Source organism: Homo sapiens, chromosome 20, assembly GCF_000001405.40.
Source record: "Homo sapiens chromosome 20, GRCh38.p14 Primary Assembly".
NCBI lineage: Eukaryota > Metazoa > Chordata > Mammalia > Primates > Hominidae > Homo > Homo sapiens.
Genome location: NC_000020.11, coordinates 48,668,855 through 48,690,855, shown reverse-complemented (window position 1 = coordinate 48,690,855; position 22,001 = coordinate 48,668,855). Strand labels below are relative to the sequence as shown.

The following is a 22,001-nucleotide window of genomic DNA, read 5'->3' as shown; positions in this document are numbered from 1 at the left end:
GTCCTTTTCAGGAGGATCAGAGCTGTAAGAAGCAGGTATTTGAAGGGACAGGGAGCTCTGGGACTATTCCAACTTGGTGGTACCTCAGAGATTGCCCACTAGACAAATGGGGAAACTGAGGCCCAAAAGAAGGGTCTTGCCCGAAGGTCTTCACCCTTAAGCATTAGGACTCAAGATGCTCCCCTTTCCTGCGCATAGCCCTGTGCCCTCCGCCTGAGGTTTTATTTGATATTCACTGAATCTAATTCTGGGAGGAGGGTCCATTGGAGCTGCCCATTAACCTCAGTCAGGAGTCCCTCTGGGCACAGGCACCCCCGAAGCAGTTCACATGAGGAAGTGCAGGGGCTGGATATAATTGGAGGGTGGGCTTGGGGGTGGGCGTGCAACAACTGTGTGGAGGCACCGGGCTGTTTTGTGCAGAGACCACCAGGCTGGGAAAAGGAGGCTTTGGTGTGTTTTGGGGCAAGTTACTCCAGCTTTCCAGACCTCAGTGATCTCATCTGATAAATGGGGATCCAAGTTCCTGCTGTAGAGGGTTGCAATGCTACAGGAGGTCTTGGATTTGAGCACATTTCAAAATCTGACATATAACCCTAAAAACCCTCCCCACCTCCCAGTTTTACTGAGGAGGAAACTGGGCCTCAGTTTTCTCCAAATGTGTATCCTGCTTACTTGAAATTGCCACTTGGAGGTGTCGTAGATGCTCACACTTGCTGTGTCTAAATCATAGCTCTTCATTTCCCCCGGCCTTCTGCCCCAAACCTGCTCTTCCCCTCGACTGCTACATACCAGTCAGTGGCTCCTCCCTTCGCCCCACAGCTCAGAGTCAAACTCTTCGTATCACCCCTGGTCTCCCCTGCAACACCTGCTCCCCAAATTCAATAGATCAACAAGTCCCTGTAACTCTGCCTTTCACATATATGTCACACCCATCCGCTTCTCCTCTCTTCTCCCTACTTCCACCCAAGACAAGCCACCATCCTCTCTCAGGAATATGGGCCCAGCGGGGCCAAATCCATGGATTATTTGTCTAGAGGAACTAGACATCTGGATTTTTAGGTGGCATTTTCTGATCCTAAACGTTGCACCAACATTTATTAAAATGATATTAGGCCCGATAAACCACTGAACTGGGGGCCTGGTTAGGCAGTGTTGTGACTTCTGAAATTGATCGGGGCTGAGTATGTGGTCAGGACTGGGATGGGGTTCAGGGATGTGGCCTAGGTGAGGCCGATCAGTATCTTTGTGGTCTTTGTTGGGCACATGGGATCACGGGTGGGGATGTGGCCCAAGTGGGTCTTAGTTGTTAGAATTGGGTGTTGTCCACATCCTGACCTCAGGGCTGGGGTGGTCACGAGCACGAATATGGAACCAACTTCCTGGGTCTAAATTCTGGTTTCACCACTTCCAATTGGGCAACCTTGGGCAGAGAACCGAACTTCTCTGGACCTCAGTTTCTTTATCTGTAAAACGGGGATAATTATGGCACCTTATTATTGCGGGTTTCTCATGTGGCGTACTGGCATGTAGTAGGTGCTATAAAAGCATTTGCTGTTGTCAAAATTAGATGGGGGTCAAAACAGAAAAATGTGGGCAGAGATTAGGGTCAGGTCCTATGAGTGTTGGCTGGAAGAACGACCAGACTTTTATCACTGGGCTGGAATGGAGATACTGACAAGTTTTCTGATAACCTGTGAATCTAGAAACCCACCCTCAGGTTGGGGAGGCAGCATAGGAAAGTGATGAAGAACATAGCACTAGAGCTTGATTCCTGGGTTGAAGGCATGACCCCCTGTCATCCCAGGACTTAACCTCTCTGGGTCTCAACTTTGCCATCTGTAAAATGGTTGTTTTGAGGTGTCATTGGCAGGTGCCTAGGGCAGCGACAGTCAGTGCCCTCTAGCTGCTGCTGGCGTGGTGGTGGTGGAGGGCAGGTGGTGGGGCAGGTGGCAGGCCAGCTTTCAGGAGCTGTGGGCCTGCCCCTTGTCTCCCCCTACCCCCCCTGCCCTGGGCCTGGTGCTCTCTCCAGTGCTGACCGTGCCCCTGTGTAGGCCTGAAGCTGGGCATGGAGCGTGATGCCTACGTCATGATTGCGGAGAAGGGGGAGAAGCTGTACCACATGATGATGAACAAGAAGGTGAACCTCATCAAGGACCGCCGGAGAAAGCTGAGCACTGTCCCCAAGTGCTTTCTTGGCAAGTGAGTAGCCTCACTCTGAACTCCCTGGGTCCCTGGGCTCTCAGCTGGAGGTGGGGCAGATCATCCCCATCCACCCATGCAGCCTGGCCCTGCCCAGGAGCCATCCTGGGCAGAGTGACAAAAGGACCTGAATCCTTATGGAGCAGCCCTCAGAGATCAAGAAGGCTAGTGGGGTCCCTAAATCAGGTCTTTCAACCTACTACCAGACATAATTTTCCATTGTGACCTGGTACACCCATTCATGTAATATATGATTGAAGCTGAGGTTTCACAGAGCTTACTGTGCTTGATCCCACTCTGAAAATATCTGTTTCTGTTCTCTTCTGTTCTTTCTATTCTATTCAAGTTGCTTCTTCATTCATTTCAAAATTAATGCTGGCAAGACCCATGACATTGTTTCACAAAGCACTAACGGTTTGAAAAATGCTGCTGTAGCACTTGGGAAAAGAGAAGCCACTCTAGGCATTTCAAGCAGAGAGGTATTGAACACAGGTAATTGATTACAAAGGTGTTTTAAGGGCTGGAAGAATAAAGGTAGGCCCCCCACCCCCACCCCATTTTTTTTTTGGCTGGGGCTGCCATAACAAAGTGCACAAAACTGGTGTGGCTTAAACAACAGAAATGTATTGCTTCACAGTTCTGGAGGCTGGCAGTCCTAGGTCAGGGTGTTGGCAGGGAGAGTATCTGGTGAGGCGTCTCTTCCTGAGTTACATGTGAGGGGCGAGGGAAGCTTCTATAAACTTCTCAGTGCCCAGAGCCTCCACTTTCTCTGTTTGGGAAATACAGCCCCATTTTATAACTGGAGTTCAAAGGGGTCAGAACACAGGTGTGACAGGCTGGCTCTTACACGCAGGTCACCTGAGGGAGAGGGCTGGGGCACGGGAGAGGTAGAAGAAATCCAGTCCTTGTAAAATGGTCAGGCTGTTTTAAGGCCCTACAATGTGCTAGACACTCCGGAGAGGACAGTGCCAAGGGCTTGCAACCTCATGAAGCTTGTGGTGCAGCTGGGGAGAGAGGTTTGCCGGCAATGCGGGAACTTTATTTAGAATGTAAGGACTTAAACTCCCCCCAACTTCCCTAAAGCCTTTGCAGAGGCCTAGGGTAAAAGCTGCCACTTTATCACAGTGCTGTGGACCAGGTGAGAGGTTGTGTGGGCCAGGCTTGAGCCAGGATGGTCATTGTGGAGACAGGGAGCAGTGGCTGTGTTCTGGATAACTTGAAAGGCAACAGCATTTGCTGATGGGGTGGAAAAGTAAAGGGAGTTCAGGACTTTAAGGCGCTGGAAAGCTGCAGTTGCTCCTTTGAGAAGGAGAAGAAGATGGCGGGAGGAGCAGGCTGCAGGGGGCCGTGGGAAGCCCACGAGTGCAGTTGTGGACGGGTTATGTCAGGCTGGTAGACACCCACATGGAGATGTGGGCTTGTTGGTTGGTTGCAAAATCTTGACTTGGGGAGAAAGGTCTGCATTGGGGACCTACACATGGGAGATGGTGTTAAATGGTCTTTAAAGCCATGAGACGGCCTGAACTGTGCAGGGGAACCTGAAGGGATAGAAGAGGCAGGCCTGGGCCCTGGGGCCCGATGATGGCATTGGAAGGAGGAGGGGGCAGAGACCTCTGAGTGGAGCTGCTGGCGAGAAGGTGGCACTCCTCCGGAAGCCAAGGGGAGGAAGAGGCGGGGAGGCAGGAGCAGGTCCCTGGGAAGGAGCAGGAGCCCGGTGGAGGCTGAAATGCTGATAGACATTCAGGGTGCAGTATGGATGTTGGGCAGGCCACGGAGGCTTAGTGTGGACTTGGGGACAGCTGGCACTCATGGCCTGAGGCTTGTGGTGGAGGGGCAGCAAGTAGAAGGGTTCAAACCTGCAGGGCGCCATGGACTCTATTGCCCTGTTGCCCTCAAGGGCCTTGGTGCCCTATTTTCCTCAAAGATCAGGAACTCCAGCTCTGAGCTTCCATGGAGAGGAGAGTTTGGGCCTTGGAGTCCTGCTGGCTGGGGCAGGCGGGGCGGGGCAGCCTGGCTGGCCTTTTCAGCCAACTCCTAATCCCACAGGAAAGGAGGTTTTTCTCTCAGGAGGGGCCTGCTTCCGGGCCCCCTGGGGCCAGAGAACCTTCCCATCTCCTGCCAAACTGCTCAGTCCGGACCGATGAGGCAGCCTGTCTGTGATCAGAACTTCGAGGAGTTCTGCCTCCTCAGGAAGGATTAGAGAGATTTCTTTTACTGCCCATTTGAAATGGGGCCAAGATAGCAGCTTGTTTTGTAACTGCAGGTCCGAAAGGGCCAGCCTTTCTGCAGGAGATTATTCTGATAAACTCTTCTCCCTGCACGGCTTTGCTCTGCACACAGCCGTAGGGTGTGTGATCCTGCTACCCCCGCCAGGGTCCCGCTACTGAATCTTCTTGTCCAAGATGCGTCCCTGGTCCTCCAGGGTAGAAGGACTTGGTAGCCTCCGAGATATTGATCAAGCCCTTTGCTGCATGTGCTGGCATTCAGCCATGTCTTTTAATCCCCACACAACACCGTGAAACAGTCACTGCCACTACCCCCATTTTAAAAGTGAGGAAACCGAGGCACAGAGAGGGGAAGGGTTCTGTACAAGATCACAAAGCGACACTGGTGCTGTCTCCCACTGTACTTTGCCTGTCTATTCATTTTTATTTCTACTCAGCACATTTTATTTTTCCCTAGCAGTTCCTCTCTCTACATCTGTCTCCACTGTTAGGGAACTGCATGAATATAAAAAGTGTCTGATTTATCTTTTGGTTTTTAGAGACAGGGTCTCGCTCTGTTGCCCAGGCTGGAGTACAGTGGTGTGATCATAACTCACTGTAGCCTCAAACTCCTGGGCTCAAGCGATCTTCCTGCCTCCTGAGTAGCTGAGACTACAGGTGTGTGCCACTGTGCTAGGCTTCTATAGCTAATTTTTATTTTTTTTTGTACAGATGGGGGTCTTGCAAATGCTCTCGCCTTGGCTTCCCAAGGTGCTGGGATTACAGGCGTGAGCCACTGCACCTGGCCTGATTTGTCTTTATCACCCCCAAGGGTTGGCTTTGAGTTAGACTTGGACTCAAGTCTTGGTTCCCTCACTTTCTAGCTGTGTGACATTGGGGAAGTTTCTTAACCTCTCTGAACCTCAGTGAACGATCAGTTAAAGGGAGATAATAAAATGTGCCTCTGAGGACTGTCGGAGGATACAGTGAGAGAACACGTGACGTGTGCAGCACAGTGCTGGTGAGACTCGTGGGAATCGTACTGGCTGTGCATGATGAGTGTATGAAGGAGGGGCCTCTTTCTGCCCTACTCAGAGAAAAATCTCTTAGATGCCACATTTAAAAAGCAAAGAATAAAATCTGTGTGTATTAATGTGGAGGGTGTCCTGGGAGGAGCATGGCCTGTGCCCTCTGGCATCGTCAGATTAGTAGGGGAGACAAAACAGATTCACTCATTCATTCACCCACTCAGTGTTACCGAGTCCCTGCTATGTGCCAGTCGGGAATAGGACAGATGAAGTCCCTGCCCTCATAGAGGTAAGCATCCAGTGGGGGAAATCAGACAACAGAAGAGGAGACAGATAGAAAGAAGGGAATTTCAGCAACTTGATGAATGCGCTAAGGAAATACTTAGCGTGAAGTCAGGACAAGAGGAAATGGGGCTGGTTCAGAAGAGTGGGCAGTCAGGACCTCTCAGGGGAAGTGACATTTAACCACGATCTGAAAGACAAGCAAGAGCCAGCCATGAGAGGGTGTGGGGAACAGCATTCCTGGCTTAGGAAGCAGTAGGCGCGAAAGCCCTGAGGCTGCAGTGAGCTTTGAGTGATGGTGGAACAGGAGGAGGCCATTGTGGCTGGAGCCTGAGTGGTCAGAGGGGCAGGAGATGTGGCCTCAGCAGTTAAAGTGGGTCACCTCAGGCAGGGCCTTGGCAGGCAGCTCACATTTCCGTCTTGGTGCTGTGGGAAGCCACTGGAGGAGTCTCGGTAGTGGAGTGAGATGAGGATCCAGATCGAGGGCATTGGTGGAGCTGTCGGAGCTCAGGGTTACCAGGTATGACGCGGCGTGTCTGGCAGGGGCCGTCAGGAAAAGCTTCCTGGACGAAGGCCTTGGGTTTCACCCTTGGCAGAGATTAGATGCTGTTCAGTTATGGACGTCTGCCAGAGGGAAAGCTCCAAGGTGGAAGGGGCCTTGGTGTCTTGGCCACCTGTACGCACAGGTGCAGGGTGTTAGTGTGCACGAGAGGGTCGGTAAGGATTTGTCCAACATTGTCATCTCCAGGAGGCATCCCTGAGCCGTGGAGTCACAGGGATGGGTATTCCACTGGGTACCCCCCAGTCCCTACCCTCTTGGAGCCCACGGCCCATGGAGGAATCAGGCAAGAACAAGGGATTCTTGTGTTGGGTCATAAGTGGTACCTTGGGCCTGAGCTCAGGCGGCTTTCTTAGGAAGACTGCAGAATGTATTCCTTGTGCCTCACCCTGGCCGTGGCCCATTGTAGGCTAAATAGATGTTTAGTGGGTGAATGATTCTAGGAGGCGGGAAGGAAGGAGGGATGAAAGCTGACACATCCTAACTCTCAGCTCACCATGCCATCCCTGACTCTCAGACTGCCCATCAAGCTAGATTGCCTTCTCCTTGTATCTCCAGCTCTCCTCACACTGTCCTGAGCTGTGTCTTTCTGGGAGCTTGGACCTAGCTGCCCTTTGCATGCCAGCGCCCCTCCCCACTGGCAGATCGCTGGTTTCCTGACCTTACCTCTCAGGGCTTCTGTGTGCGCTGATCCCCTTGCCCAGAACACTCTCCCCTGTACCCCAGAGGTGGCTAGCAGTGCCCCACTGACCTGATAGAGTTAGCAGACATGTTTTCCTCGGCCCACGTAGTGCTTTCAGAAAATGTTGGACTCGATATGAACATTTAATGATGGGGAGATTTCACAGGAAATGCTGGATTTCCTCACTCTCCCGAGAAGCTGTTAGATGCGTTCGTCTTCTAACATAATGGGCCATGATGGGCTACACTGAAGAGTGGCTGCCAGCTTTAGACACGGCAGGCCCCGGCTGGTTCTGCACAGTCTCCTCCTGGCCTGTTTTGCCTATTTACAAGTTTGAGACCCCTGCACTAGAGATGAATTTTATTGGGTTTTTGCATACTGCATCCCAGCTCAGGATTTCATATGACTAGAAATTTTGCCTGCTAAATCCAGAAGGTGACTGAGTGAGCCACTTCCCAGGTGGGCCCTGATGAGGCCCAGAGAGGCACAGGGACCCGCCCAGCTTTGCCCAGCAAGCTGTGAACCCTCCTTGATCCACCAGAAGATGGCAAGACCCAGTTTGGGCAGAAACGTAGGGCAGAGTTGCTGTCCTCTGGGCCGTCTTCTTCTGCCCCAGCAGCTGCTGTGGGATACTTCCTGTCCCCTAACCCTGGCCAGAGAGTTGCTGATCAGTGCCAGAGGCGGCCCCCAATTAGACAGCTGGTGGGCTTCCGAGAGTGGGCACTCAAACATCTGTTCCCCTCCTTCAGCTGCTGGCAGCATTCTCCCTGTCCCTGAGTTCCAAGACTTTGAGAATGGAACTGGGGGTGGACAGGACCCAGAACAATCCCTTCCCCACCTGGGGCGCCTGTCCCACAAAGCAGATGCATTTCTTCTGCAGCCCACTCTGCCTCCAGCCAGGGCATTCTGAATGCTCCAGCACGCACCGCTACCTACACACCAGGCAGGTCTTTGCTCTGCCAAACACTAGGAAGCTAAAAATAGCCCTGCCCCCCTCTGGCCCTGTAATTGGAGGCGGGACAGCTGGTTTCGATAAGCAGGGTGCTCAGGCTCTGGCCAGCTGCCACCTGCTTTCATTGAACACAGATTGCCTCGGCGGAAACAGCCCCATTCCAGGCTCTCCCTTTTCCTGCTGAGTTTGAGTGGGTTGAGCTCTGGGCTGAGCCTGAGAAGCACCCGCAAGAACTAGGACCTGGGGCCCCGGCTGAGCCTCTCACCACCGGGCAGTCACGTGGGAGCTGGGAAAGCTGCCTGTCTTCCTCTGGCCTGGGAGCACTTCTGTCTCCCCGAGACCTTCCTGCCGACCTCAGAACATTCCTTTCTGTCGGATGGTTCATTACTTCATTTGTTCCATAAATGATCATTGAGCCCTGCTCTGCATCAGGCCCTCTGGTAGGTGCTGGGATAGTGCCATGAATAAGACAGAGAAAACACCCTGTTCATGTCATTACATTCTGGTTGGGGGAGATGGCCAATAAATACGTAAAATAAATCTGTAAACAAGACCACTTCAGACAGTGAAAAGTGCAAAAAAGGAAGCAACACAGAGATGTGATGGATTGGATAGGGGTCGGGGACCATTTTAAATGAGGTAGTCAGGGAAGGCTTCTCTGAGGAGGTGATGTTTGTGCTGAGACCTGAAGGATGAGAAGGCACAGTTGCATGAAGAGCTGAGGAAGGGCATTCCAGGCAGAAGGAACAGCAAGTGCAGCAGCCCCGAGGCAGGGAGGAGTCTGGTATTTTTTAATAAGGGAAAGGTGGTAGGTGTGGCTTAGGCATAACTAATGAGAGGTATTGGGGGTGAGATCAGTCAGGGTGGGAGTGGGTCATGCTGGGCCTTGTTTATGTCCGTGTGGGAAGAGTTGGGATTTTTTTTGTGAGTAGTAAGCCTGTGGGAGGGTTTTGAATATGGAAATGACATGGTTTCATCACTGTTAGCTCGCCTGACTCCCCGCCATCATCTTTCTGGCCCCCTATTATTTCTTCCTGCATGTTTGTCCATTCCTTCTGTTCATCTGTCCAGCCACCACTCCATCTAGCCATCTGTGATCCATCCCTGACCCATCCACCCATCTACTCACTCTCTTCTTCATCCACCCCATATTAAGTCATCTGTCTGTTCATTCATCCACTTACCCACTTACCTACCTGCCCATGTGCTGCTGGCTGTCTGTCTGGCCGGACATCCATCCGTCCGTCCATCCATCCATCCATCCATCCATCTATGTAGTCACTCATCCACCAACCTGCCTGCCCAGCTTCCTTCCCTCCTTCCCTCTCTCCCTCCCTCCCTCTCTCCCTTCCTTCCTTCCTTCCATCCATCCATGCATCCATCCAGTGAGCCTGAGGCAGACCTGGAATCTGGTCACACTCTCCTCTCTGCTATTGGTAATAAGCATGAAGCCTCAGTACAACCCCAAGGGCTATAGACTACTACACTCGGCTTCCCTGTGGGAAGTTCTAGCTGTCATTCCCAGGGGTGGATGTGGCCAGGCCAGCTTAGTGCTGATTCCTGTGGTCCCAGAATTGGGGAAATCCTCTCAACCACATATTGTGTTCCTGGCAGTGAGTTCGTTGCCTGGCTCCTAGAAATTGGTGAAATCAGCAAGACGGAAGAAGGAGTCAACTTGGGCCAAGCCCTGTTGGAGAATGGCATCATCCACCATGGTGAGTGGAGGGCTGGGCCCAGCTGGGCCAAGGGGTGGGAACAGGTCAGACCCCAACTGTGCCATGCTTCCACTAGCTCAGGCAGCTCCTATCCTTTCGTGCAGCCGCCGTGTTTTCTGGGCACAGTGTGGCCCGCAGGAACATGGATGCCCTTGTAAAACTGCCTCTTAGGCACCAGCAAATCAGGGATACCTCAAAAACCTGGGGGCAGGGGAGTAGAATCTTTTATCTGTCCCTTCAAGAAATGTCAAGAACCATTTGGTTAAGTTTTAGTTATTCAGCAAATATTTATTGAGTGCCTATAATGTGGCAGGCACTGTTCACACCACAATGAACGGGAGGAGGACGTGCCTGTCGTCATGGAGCCGACCTTGTAGTTGGAGGGGACGATAAGATCTTTACTTGCTTATCTTTACAAAGCAAGATAGTAAAACATGATAGGTGCTAGGGAAGGAGGGTAAAGAGTGTGGTGTTGGCGTTCACTTTTGAATAGGGGAGATGGGGAAGGCCTCACCGAGAAGGTAACATTGGAACCAGGACCTGAGCCACCAGTGAGGGAGGGACCCAGGTGGGCATGATGGTTCCAGGCAGAGGGAACAGCCAGTGCAAAGTCCTCAGGCAGAGTCTAAGTGGGTTGTGCAGGGAATAGCAGGGAGGGAGTGTGGCTGCCTCAGAGTGAGGAGGGGGCGTGGTAGGAGACGAGGTCAGAGGGCACAGGGCTGATGGGAGAGTCCAGGAGGTGAGATGAGATCCTATAGAGAATTGTAGGGTCTTTGGCTTTTACTCTGAGTGAGCTATGAAGCTGTTGCTGAGCTCTGCGTAGAGGAAAGACCTGCTTGGACGAACACGCTGGCAGAATCCCTCTGGCTGCCCTGTGGAGACTGTTGGGACCAAGGGTGACAGCAGGGAGCCCAGCAAAGAGGCTGCTGTGATAGTCCAGGTGGGAGGCGAAGGTGGTTCGGGCCAGTGTAGGAGTGAGGTGATTGGTATCTTGAAGGTTAGGGCCTTATAGGCATTGCTAATGGATCTGAAGCATCAAGCATGACTTTGTGGGATAGAGATGGCTCCGTAAATCTCAGCAATGTGGTCTCAGGCCCCAGCATGCTTGTCCCCACCCATCCATTGGTGATCTAGATCTAAGGACATGCTGAGCCAGAGGGGTCCCAGTGCAGGCTGGATCAGGGGCATTTCTGGGTCCCTCACCCCTGTAGATGCCCCACCCCAAGCTGCGAGTCTCAGCAGGGTCCTGCACGTAGCAGGAGGATGGGGTATCCTCATGTGCAAAATGGGGAAGTCATAGCACCCACCTCGTGGGGTTTCAGTGAAAAAAAAGCCTGGCCAGCAGTGAAGCCTGATGCTGGTGGGTGTGACTGGGAGGGGCAGAGGGGGCGTGGCTGGCAGTGAAGGCCAATGCTGGGGGGCGTGGCTGGGAGGGGCTGAGGGGGCGTGCCCAGCGTCACAGGTCCTCCTGTCTCTCCAGTTTCCGACAAGCACCAGTTCAAGAATGAGCAGGTGATGTATCGCTTCCGCTACGACGATGGCACCTACAAGGCCCGAAGTGAGCTGGAGGACATCATGTCCAAGGTAGGGGCCCTCCGCCCCTGTGACTCTGACTCAGCTGGCCTCGTTCACCTCCACCCTGGGTTCGCCTCAGAGCAGGCCTGTGCCCCTTGGCTTGTTTGCCTTCTCCACTGCCCACAACTCACCCCTGCCCCCATTACCCTGCCCTGCCCCGTCCTGGAAGCCATCTCTCCCATCAGCCTGGATTTGGAGGCTCGTGAAGGATGTGGCCTGATCCCAGAATTCCTCCCCTTTTTTCTTTCAGGGTGTGAGGCTTTACTGCCGTCTTCACAGCCTCTACACCCCGGTGATCAAGTAAGTTACTCTTTCCAAGCTCCAATTTCACCTCTACCTCTTCTCAGCTGTGTGGCCTTGGGCTGGCAACTTAACCTCTCTGAGCTCCAGTCTCCTTCTCCATTAAATGGGGCTTGCAGTGGCACCTATCCTTTAGATTTGTCATTAGGATTAACTGAATTAAATTGTGGGAAGCACTGCAGTGTAGTGATGCAGGTGTCAGTTCTGGAGCCAGACAGACTGAGCTTGAACCTCCCTCCTAGTTAGCAGCTGTGTGACCTTGGGCAGAGTTACTTAACCTCTCTGTGCCTCAACCGTTTCCTCTGTGAAATGGGGATAATAATGGGCTCCACCTTAGGGCCTTTGTGCCTGCTGTTCCCTTTGCTTAGGATGCCTTTCCTCTGCATACCTTCATATTCGTTCCCTCACTTCCTTCAAACGCCTCCATATCACAGGGGTCTTCCCTGCCTACCTGCATAAAGTGTCACCAACCTGGTACTTTCTGTCCTCTGTATTAGTCTGTTTTCATGCTCCTGATAAAGACATAGCCAAGACTGGGTAATTTATAAAGAAAAGGAGGTTTAATGGATTCACAGTCCCACATGGCTGGGGAGGCCTCTCAATCGTGGAGGTATGTGAAAGGCACGTCTTACCTGGCAGGCAAAAGGAAAATGACAGCCAAGTGAAAGGAGTTTCCTCTTATGAAACCATCAGATCTTGTGAGACTTATTCACTACCACAAGAACAGTATGGGGGAACTGCCCCACGATTCAGTAGTTTCCCACTGGGTCCCTCCCACAGTATGTGGGAATTATGAGAGCTGCCATTCAAGATGAGATTTGGGTGGGGACACAACCCAACGATATCAGCTCCCTTTGTTCATTTTAATTTTCTTCTTCTTTTTTTTTTTTGAGACAGGGTCTTGCTCCGTTACCCAGGCTGGATTGCAGTGGTGCAATCACAGCTCACTGCAGTCTCAACCTCCAGGCTCAGGCAGTCCTCCCACCTGAGCCTCCTAGGTAGCTGGGACTACAGGCGTGCACCACCATGCCTAGCTAATTTTTTTTTTTTGAGACAGAGCCTCGTTCTGTCCCCCAAGTTGGAGTGCAGTGGCGCAATCTTGGCTTACTGCAACCTCCGCCGGGTTCAAGTGATTCTCATGCCTCAGTTGCCTGAGTGGCTGGCATTACAGGTGCCTACCACCAGGCCCGGCTAATTTTTGTATTTTTAGTAGAAGTGGGGTTTCACCATGTTGGCCAGGCTGGGCTCGAACTCCTGACTTCAAGTGATCTGCCTGCCTTGGCCTCCCAAAGTGCTGGAATTACAGGCGTGAACCACTGCACCTGGCCTTTTTTTATATGTTTGGTTTTTTCTTTTTCTTTTTTTTCTTTTTTTGAGACGGAGTCTCGGTCTGTTGCCCAGGCTGGAGTGCATTGGCATGATCTCGGCTCACTGCAACCTCTGCCTCCTGGATTCAAGCGATTCTCCTGCATCAGCCTCCCGAGTAGCTGGGATTACAGGCATGCACCACCATGCCTGGGTAATTTCTATATTGTTAGTAGAGATGGGGTTTCACCATGTTGGCCAGGCTGGTCTCAAAACTCCTGATCTCAAGTGATCTGCCTGCCTCAGCCTCCCAGAGTGCTGGGATTACAGGTGTGAGCCACCGTGCCTGGCCTTATTGATTGAAATTTAAATTAAAATGGCTACCTATTGGAGAGCAGAGGCCTAGGGACTCAGTAAAAGCTTGTCAGTGAATGTTGAAAGATGATTAACTTCTTTTGCTTCTGTTTCTGCATCTGTTAAGTGGACATAAGAATAGCTCTCACCTCTTGGGTTGCCATGAGGATTAAATTCACGGAAGGTGCTTTGAATGGCTCCTGGCATTGTATAATGAACGCCAGAGATTGGTTATTCTTTTTACCACAAAGCTCACAGTTGTGGATGAAGGGAGAGAGGGTGACCTGATTCTTATCCCAGCTGCAGATTTTTCTGTCCTCTGACCTGATAGCTCTTATCACCTCTCGGAAGAGTGGAGAGGAAGGACCATTTCCTAGCATTTGCTGGCCCCGTGGGATGTCAGGCCCTGGGAACCACTTTCATCTGCCATCCTGCCTCCGCCCTCCTGGGCTCCTCTGCTGCTGCTCTTGTGCAAGCCCCAGAAGGCAGGTGGGGCTCCTTGGCCAGCCTCAAAGAAGGAAGCGGCTGGGGAAGGTAGCAGACCCCCACCAACTGCACGTGGAGCCTGTCAGACCCCCCCAGTCCTAAAGCCTGAGAGAAATCCTCCAACTAGACTTTATCAGCCTTGGCATGGACTGGCCACAGAAGCGCGTTTTTGTCACAGCTTCAGAGGCTGAGAAGTTGTTGCAGTTCGGCTGCAAGGTTAGCGGAACCCATGGGATCCAGGCTCGGCAGGGATTCAGATGCTGTCACAGGCCAGGGCAGTTACCTCAGGAAAGAACCGTGAAACTCACAGGCCTCTGTGCTGCTCGGCCCTGATAGACCACACCAGCCCCTTGCAGGGGCTTTCCACAATGGTTTGGTTTAAATACATCAATGTCAACCACAAAACAAAAAGGAAAAAGGAAAGGAAAGAATGGAGGGTCTCCCCTGCCACTCTGTGAGAGTCAACATGGCTCCCCAGCCTCGGCGCCGGTGGCATCGTAGCCAGGATGAGTCTCTGTTGGGGGCTGCCTGGCATTGTAGGATCTTCAGCAGCATCCCCGGCCTCTACACACGGGATGCCAGCAGCACCCCTGCCCTAGCCCCTCCAGGTCTTGACAGCCAAAAATGTCTCCAGACATACCCTGAGGGCAAAATCACCCCCAGCTGAGATCTCCTGGGCTAGAGACAGAAAGTTTCCAGAGCCCTGGAGCTGCTGCCTCCTGCCTCCCACTCTGTAGGTGGAAGGAGGCCTGGTTTGGAACAGCCCTGCCCTCGGTCACACTGCAAGTGATGTGTGGAGTCTGGGCTGAGACTCGGACCCCTGCCCAATGCCTAGAGAGCCTGGAGATCCTTGACTCGTGGGCACGTCCTGCAGGGAAGTCAGGACCACCCCCACCTCTGTCCTCCCCGCCCTGCCCTGCTCACTGTGCGCTCACCTTCTCCACAGAGACCGTGATTACCACCTGAAGACCTACAAGTCAGTGCTTCCCGGGAGCAAGCTGGTGGACTGGCTGCTGGCTCAGGTGAGGGCCTCCTCAGGGGTGTGTGACCAGTGTTCTGCTTTGTCCGTCAGTGTGGGGCTTTCTGTTTTGTTTAAAGATTTTTTCTTATTGCTTTTAATTGTGGCAAACTGCACAGAACATAAAATTTACCATCTTGATCTTTTTTTTTTTTTTCTTGAGACAGAGTCTTGCTCTGGCACCCAGACTGGAGTGCAGTAGTGCAGTCTTAGCTCACTGCAACCTCCGCCTCCCAGGTTCAAGCAATTCTCCTGCCTCAGCCTCCCAAGTAGCTGGTATTACAGGCGCACGCCACCACACCCAGCTGATTTTTGTAATTTTAGTAGAGTCGGGGTTTCACTGTGTTGGCCAGGCTGGTCTCGAACTCCTGACCTTGTGATCTGCCCGCCTCGGCCTCCCAAATCACTGGGATTACAGGTGTGAGCCACCACGCCCGGCCATCTTGATAATTTTTAAGTGGATAGTTCATTAGGATTAAATTCATTGATAATGTTGTGCAACCGTCACCACTACCCAACCACAGACCTTCTAATCTTCCCAAACTGAAGTTCTGTTCCCATTCAACTCTCCACTCCCCCTCCTCCAGTCCCGATGAGCACCATTCTACTTTCTGTCTCTATGAACTTGACTACTCTAGTTACCTCATAGCAGTGGAATTGTGCAGTATTTGTCCTTTTGTGCCTGGCTCATTTTACTGAGCATCCATCCTAAAGCCTCATCCATGTTGTAGCGTATGTTGGAATCTCCTTCCTTTTTAAGGTTGAATAATATTCCATTGATTGTGTGTTAGTCTATTTGTGCTGCTATAACAAAATACCTGAGACTGGGTAATTTATAAAGAACAGAAACTTCTCACAGTTCCGGAGGTTGGGAGTTCCAGACCAAGGTGCCGGCAGGTTCGGTGTCTGTCGAAGGCTGCCGTCTGTTTCCAAGATGCTGCCTTGCTGCTGTGTCCTCTCATGGGGAAAGGGATGGGAGGGGCAGACTCCCTGCGTCACACCCATTTCTAAGGGATGCCTAATGCCCTCCTGACTCAGTCCCCTCCTGATGGCCATACCTCTCAATACTGTTGCATTGGGGATCACATTTCAACAAGAATTTTGGAAGGGACAAAAGCATTCAAACCGTAGCAGTATGTCTGTACCACATTTTGTTTATCCATTCATTCCTCAGTAGACCCAGGGGTTGCTTCCACACTAGGGCTTTCTTTCAGTTTTAAAACTGGGATGGTCTTGGGCAAACTAGGACAAGATGGTTTTATTCTGGTACCAAACTGCAGCCTCTGTTTGGAGTTGGCCAAGTTACTACTTTCAAAAAAGTTCCCAGTGGGTAGGGGTTGACCAGAAGCTTAGAAAATCTATGCATCAGTTTTGGTGCAATATCCCGAAGGTGTTTGCTCCATTCAGGTGCCACATACAGGCCTGTTGCCTGTCTCTTCTCCTTTATTGCTCAGGATTATGGATGCTTACTCTGGATAAGGCCCCAGCAGGCATTGTGTGTTATCCTTTTGAGTCCTCTAACCTACTTGCAGATGGGGAAGTGGGCCCAGAGAGGCTGAGTGCCTGGTCCAAGGGTGCACAGCTTCATAGTAGCAAAGCTGGGACTCACCCACTGTGCCTCGGTTCTGTGAATTTTTCAGCGAGTCCTCAAGAATATCTATTCATGGTTTGTAAAAAGAACACATTGGCTCCCAAAGATGAGAAGAAACCTGTGAAATAAAAATGGATAAATGTTTAAACATCTACAGAGTGCAGCTTTATGTTGGCCTCATTAATTGTTAAACATTCATAAAAACTTCATTTGAAAACAATTTGCTGCCTGGATTTTCTCATGTTGCACAAATTCCTGATACGTGCTGATAAATCACAGCCAATTTTTAAAGTGAATGTTTTTCAGCACCAAATAACTTCAAAAGAAAGTTGAGAAACATCCTTGAAAATAAGTTATCTAGCCCAAAGAGATATCAAATGTGAAATATGGGTGCATTTTAATATGTTTGCTATGATATGGGACCCTATGTCCTGGGAGGTCTTGAAATATCTGGATTTGAATTCCAATTTGCATGTCTGTGAAGGGCAGAGCTGCTAACCATTGTACCACACTCCCCAGCCCTCGTGAGAATCACATGCAGTCAGCCCAGAACTCATGCTTTTATAGCCAGACAGACGTGGGTTCAAGTCCCAGCCTTGCTACTTCCTAGGTTAGTGACCTTGGACAAGTTGCTCAGCCTGTCCGGGCCTCAGTTGTAGAATGAAGCTAAAACCAATACCTTCTCCTTTAGATTGTTTTGAGGTTTTGATGAGATAATTGTGTAAAGTGCTTAGAATGGTGCCTGACATAGAGTAATTGCTCAATAAACGTTAACTATTACTATGATTCCTCATCTCTTTCACAAAAGATTCAAGGTGGCCCAAGATTACATGCAATATAGAAGACTAAAGAAATTGTGCAAGGGTTTGGGGACCACGAGACCAGTAAGACCAGGAAACAAACAGAGGTGGGGGGGTTAGCAATCTGCACAGAGTCCCGCCTTCTGAATTTGCTACAAATAGGTGACAGGGGTGCCATGTGGGAGTTTCTTTTGTGGTTTAGGTGCTTCAGTCAGAGCCCAGAGGAGCCTGGGTTTCAAGGCTCTCAGAGCTGCCCACTTCTTACTGCTGTGGACGTTTCTGGGGCCTCATATTTCCCAAGCTCCTTCAGTGCTCAGAGCTGCCTGTTGGTGTCAAAGCATAGGGGAGGCATTGCTCCCAGGGTGAATCCCATGCCTAACTCAGGGTGGGTTGGCTCACGGAGACAACAGGACGTCGGGTCTGAGAGGTATTTGGAGATAGAAGAGACGGGTTGCACTGCTGTGGGAATGGCTGGGAATCAAGGATGAGCCCTGAGATTTGGGTGCATTAGGCCGATGGAAATACCATTTGTGGAGATGGGAAGATGGGCAAGAATGTATGGGGAAAATGACTTTCTCCTTGGGCACGCAAGATGCCATGGGGCTTTCCAGCGGATGGGCAGGGGAGAGGGTGGGCTTTACACACACACCCAGACCTCAGGCAGCCCCCACTGCAGAGTCCGCTCCTTGTCAGCTTTTGGGTAACATTTGACACAGGTTAGAAGAGAGTGTAGGGAAGTTAGACAAGCGAGCTCATTAGCTAACTTTTTTTTTTTTAATTATTTTTGAGCACCTGCCGTGTATCAGGGGCTGTTTTTGGTTCTAGAGACACAGCAGGGAACAAGACAGACAAAAGCTCCTGTTCTCCCAGATATTACGTTCTGGTGAGGATAGGAGAGACACTTAATAAATAAGAATAAGAGGAATACATCACATGCCCGCTGGTGCTAGGTGCAATGTGGTGGAGGGAACGGTGTGGGAGCGGGGGCAGGGGATCTCCCCCTCACATGGGCGGGGTGGTGCAGTTTACACAGGGGGTCAGGGACGGCCATACTGAGGAGGGACATTTGAGCAGAGGGCTGAGGGAAGTGGGGAGTGAGCCCAGGCCACATCTGGGGAGCAGCAGCTCAGAGGCTCTTAGGCAGAGCGAGCCAGGTATGTCTGGGGAGCAGAGAGGGGGCCAGGGTGGCTGAATGGAGTGAGAGGGGAGAGGAGTGGCGAGGAAGCCGCGTGGGCGCACCATGCCAGGCTGTGTCCACTCCTGGAAGGGCCCAGACCCCTGCCCGGCTCGGAGTACAGGAGCAGTGTGTGTGGCTTCAGTTCAGACAGGTCCCCTGGCTCTGTGTGGAGACTTTAGGGATGATGCTGGCAGCAGGGAGGGCAGTAGGAGGCAACGCTAGAATTCCAGCAGGGGAGGATGCTGGCTGAGAACAGGGTGGTGGGGGTGGCAGGAGAAATGGTCAGATTCTGGATGTTTTGAAGGTGGACCTAATAGGTTGCTCATGGGTGAGTAGGGCGTTGCAGGTGAGAGACAGAAAGGAGCAGAGAATGACTCCAAAGCCTTTGGCTTGAGCTGCCATTGACTGAGCTGGGATGCTATGAAAGAGGCAGGTGTGCGGGAGGCTCAGGCCTTCACCCTGGAACACTCCAGCATTTAGAGACTGGAGGAGGAGGAACCAGTAAAAGCCACTTCCAGTGTTGGTGGCTGGTGCTGGGCATGCGGGGGGCTTTCTCGTGGCCAGTGCTGGCCGAGGAGTTGTGGGCTCGGCCAGAGGCCCCTTGGAGTAGCTTGCGTCACTGTCACTCTGTCCTGAGCCCCCCAACCCCAGGCACCCGCATCTTGTTGCAAGTGGAGACGGGGAGGATGTCGAGCAAAGGCTGTAGCCGACCATGCAATGTGTCCATCCACTTCAGCAGCCTATCTGTGGCTTGGCCTGGTGTGGGGACACAGGGTGGGTAACTGGAGCTGACGCAGGAGGATGACTTCCAGGAGATGGTTGGAAAGGCAACTGGCCTTCGGCTTGGGTCAGGGAAAGGGGAGGAGGGTGTGCCCGCGTGGGTCTTTCTGTGCGGGAGAGATCTGTGACAAGGATGTGACCTCGGAGTGTGGTTACAGCCCGTCTTGATTTCAGGAGTCACCCCCACCTTGCATCTTAGCAGGAAAGTGGGAAGAACACATAATTGTGTAGGGCGGGAGGGTATTTTTTGGACACGTCTTCATTTCTAACTCTAGGTTATTTTACCCCTTAAAATAAAATGTTGATTAAATCCCTGCTGGATCAGTTACACATGCGTTTGGCTGCACATAACAGGAAACCTGACTTATTAATACGATATTCTTCTCTCACATAATTTATTGTCTGGAGTTTGTGGTCCTAGAGCTCAACAATGCCGTCTGTACCCAGGCATCTCCTGCCTTTCTGTTCTGCTATCCTGGTATCTTCTTATGAGTTGCCTCATAGTCACAGTGTGGCAGCCATGGCTCCAGACATCACATCTGCACAGAACTATGGCCAAAGGCTGTCCTGTTGGAGAACATTTTTTCTTTCTGTGTATTAGGGGAGGAAACTTCCTACAATCCTCCCTTCCCCTGCATGGTCTTTTCCTTAGGTCTCATTGGCTGGATGGGTCTGACATACACCCCTAAACCAGCCCCTGGGGAAGAGAACCGAGATTGCTGATAGTGGCTTAGAATTCCTCGGGATTCATTTCTTCTGACTTCGGGAGGTGGCTTGCTAGGCACTATTCAGACAATCAGAGTTCTTTAAACTCTGAGGATGAGGTGGGCATTGGCCGTTGGAGAGACAACTTGCACTCTCTGTCAGCTCCGGAACGGCTTGGTGCATTATCTTATTTAATCCTCAGAACAACTTGAGACAAATGCAGTTGTTCCCATTTTACTGATGAAGAAACTGAGGCTTGGGTTATGTAACTTGCCGCAGGGCACACAGCCACCAGGATCCTCTGTGTGTTTGTGTGTGGCAGGGGTTGTCCTGATGCCTTCATAGTCAATAACAATCATAACGCTTGGTATTAATGATCGCTGATTGAGTCTGAGCAGAGACCACCTCTCAGGGGTGTCAGAGGCCTAGGAGAATCAAGGGCAAATCTGAGAATGAAATAAAAATATGGATGAGGAAAGGATACTCAGAGAGGCTAAGGGATTGCCCAAGGACGTGGCCAGGGCAGAGCGGGGCTTTGAATCGGGGGAAGCCAGCTCTGGAGTTTGCTCTCTTCACCTCTCCACTGGGTGATTTCTGGGTCTGTGTCACTTGGGCTCCAGGATGCCCCAGGCTGCGACCGTCACATGCAGGGCAGGGGGTCAGCAGGCTGAGCAGGAGAGAGCAGAGGCCAGGCCAAGGAGCCAGGTGTGGGGCGGGCACAGATCTGCATGCTCCCATGCTGGCTCTGCAGAAATGCACCTGGAATGCCCGCCACGTGGGCTCCCACTACCAGGCAGATGGCAGGTACTGATGGTAGCAGGGTTCTCAGCAGGGGCAGGGGCAGAGAGGGGTTGGGGTAGGAGAGGCGGGGGTCAGGCTGGCAGCTTGAGGTACTACTGGGAGAAGAGACGCAGGAGAAATGGGAACAGGAAACTTGGCTGCAACCCTAGGCAACTAACCTCCCCTCTCAGCCTCACTTCCCCTCTCCATGGCATGGTGGCGGGGGGTGTCCAGCTCTGAGCAGTCTCCATTGTTACTGTGTAAGCTTGAGCAACTGCCAAGTCTGTCTATGCCTCTGTTTCCTCCTCTGTCGAGTGGGGTTAATAAGAGTGATTGTCTCCAGGTCAACCATACAGTCTGAGTGAAATCCTGCAGCTCCTTGTACATGGTGGGTCGGTGAGAGGCATCCTTGGGCATCTTTATGGGGTCTCGGAATTCATGGGTAAAGAGGCTGTCTGGGGTCCTGTGTAACTGACACCTCTTTCCCCCATTACTCCGTCTCTCCACCCCACTTTGCCTTCTCCATCTTCATTCCTCAGTGGTTCTCTCCAGTGAAAAAATAACTAATCAGGAACAGCTAACATTTATCAAATGCTGCCTGTGTGCCAGGCTTTGGGCCAAGGGTCTTGCACAGAGTGTCTCATTCAATCCTCACGAGAACTTGGTGGGATGGAGACACTCTCCCCACCACTATAGACAGAGACCGAGACAGGGAGGTGAGTTCAGAATCAGTTTTCAAACTAGGTCCTCTCTTCTCCCTTCTTTCTGTCCCTCCTCCCCTCTCCCATCACATCCCTTTTCTTCCCTTCCTTCCACTTTTTGTGCCCCACCAAGTAGGAGACTTTGAATTTTGATGTGGGATGATGAGGTGAACATGGCAGGCAGTGTCCCTGCCCGCATGGAGCTTATACCCGGTGGGCAACAGACCTTAAGCAAAATGTATACATGGGTGAGTTAATTTCAGACTGGGACAGGGTGGCACAGATGCCTTGCAGGGTACTGAGTGTGTGTGACTGGTGAGCGTTTATTGAGAGGATGGGTGGAGGAATGTTTGGGGGGCTACTTTCAGGTAGTTAAGGATGGGACTCTCTGAGGAGGTGGTACGGCCCTGAGACCTGCAAAGCCGGGGCAGGGCATTCCAGGTGTGCAGGAAAGGACGAGTGCAAAGGCCTTGAGGTGTGCAGAGGGCACCTGGGGGTGGGCAGGCGGGTGGGGGAGTCAAGGCAGGGAAGCATGGCGGGGGAGGTTGCAGGGGTCTCGTGTGTGGCGGCTTCCTCTGGGAGAGGAGAAATTGCATCCTTCCCAGAGGGCTGCAGGGAGGTGGCAGGGCTTCCTGTTCAGGTGGCACATCTGGGCCTTCTGTATCACTGTTGACCTGAGAGTCCCTGCTGGCCTAGCTTTAGGAGCTCCAAGACCCTGTGGGGAGGCTGGGACTGTGAGCGCCTCAGAAGGCCAGGTGGCTCCAGCTGCCTGCCGGGCCTCCCATCTGCAGAGCTAGGGCCTGCCGCC

The 22,001-nt window shown here is 52.0% G+C and overlaps 1 protein-coding gene across 6 annotated transcripts in view, besides 2 other annotated features; it reads left to right on the top strand.

Annotated features, from left to right (window-relative positions):
• Positions 1 to 22,001, top strand: part of PREX1 (phosphatidylinositol-3,4,5-trisphosphate dependent Rac exchange factor 1) — a 263,934-nt gene that overhangs the window by 197,330 nt on the left and 44,603 nt on the right. For 4 of the 6 annotated variants that reach the window (XM_047440333.1, NM_020820.4, XM_047440332.1 and 1 more), the window contains 5 exons: positions 2,052 to 2,199; positions 9,521 to 9,621; positions 11,102 to 11,205; positions 11,447 to 11,496; positions 14,588 to 14,663. In XM_047440333.1, the coding sequence (XP_047296289.1) occupies positions 2,052 to 2,199; positions 9,521 to 9,621; positions 11,102 to 11,205; positions 11,447 to 11,496; positions 14,588 to 14,663 (479 nt within the window). Of the gene's footprint in view, positions 1 to 2,029; positions 2,200 to 9,520; positions 9,622 to 11,101; positions 11,206 to 11,446; positions 11,497 to 14,587; positions 14,664 to 22,001 lie in introns of those variants that run through there. The other 2 variants (XM_011528934.2, XM_047440334.1) reach the window with 2 other exon arrangements.
• Positions 7,078 to 7,827: an enhancer, noted in NCBI's record as "H3K27ac-H3K4me1 hESC enhancer chr20:47299567-47300316 (GRCh37/hg19 assembly coordinates)". NCBI's record gives its function as "activates a minimal SCP1, AML or CMV promoter by ChIP-STARR-seq in naive H9 embryonic stem cells {active_cell/tissue: H9 hESC(naive)}" and the evidence as "EXISTENCE:reporter gene assay evidence [ECO:0000049][PMID:30033119]".
• Positions 10,937 to 11,106: a silencer, noted in NCBI's record as "silent region_12984". NCBI's record gives its function as "represses an Ori minimal core promoter by ATAC-STARR-seq in GM12878 lymphoblastoid cells {active_cell/tissue: GM12878}" and the evidence as "EXISTENCE:reporter gene assay evidence [ECO:0000049][PMID:35858748]".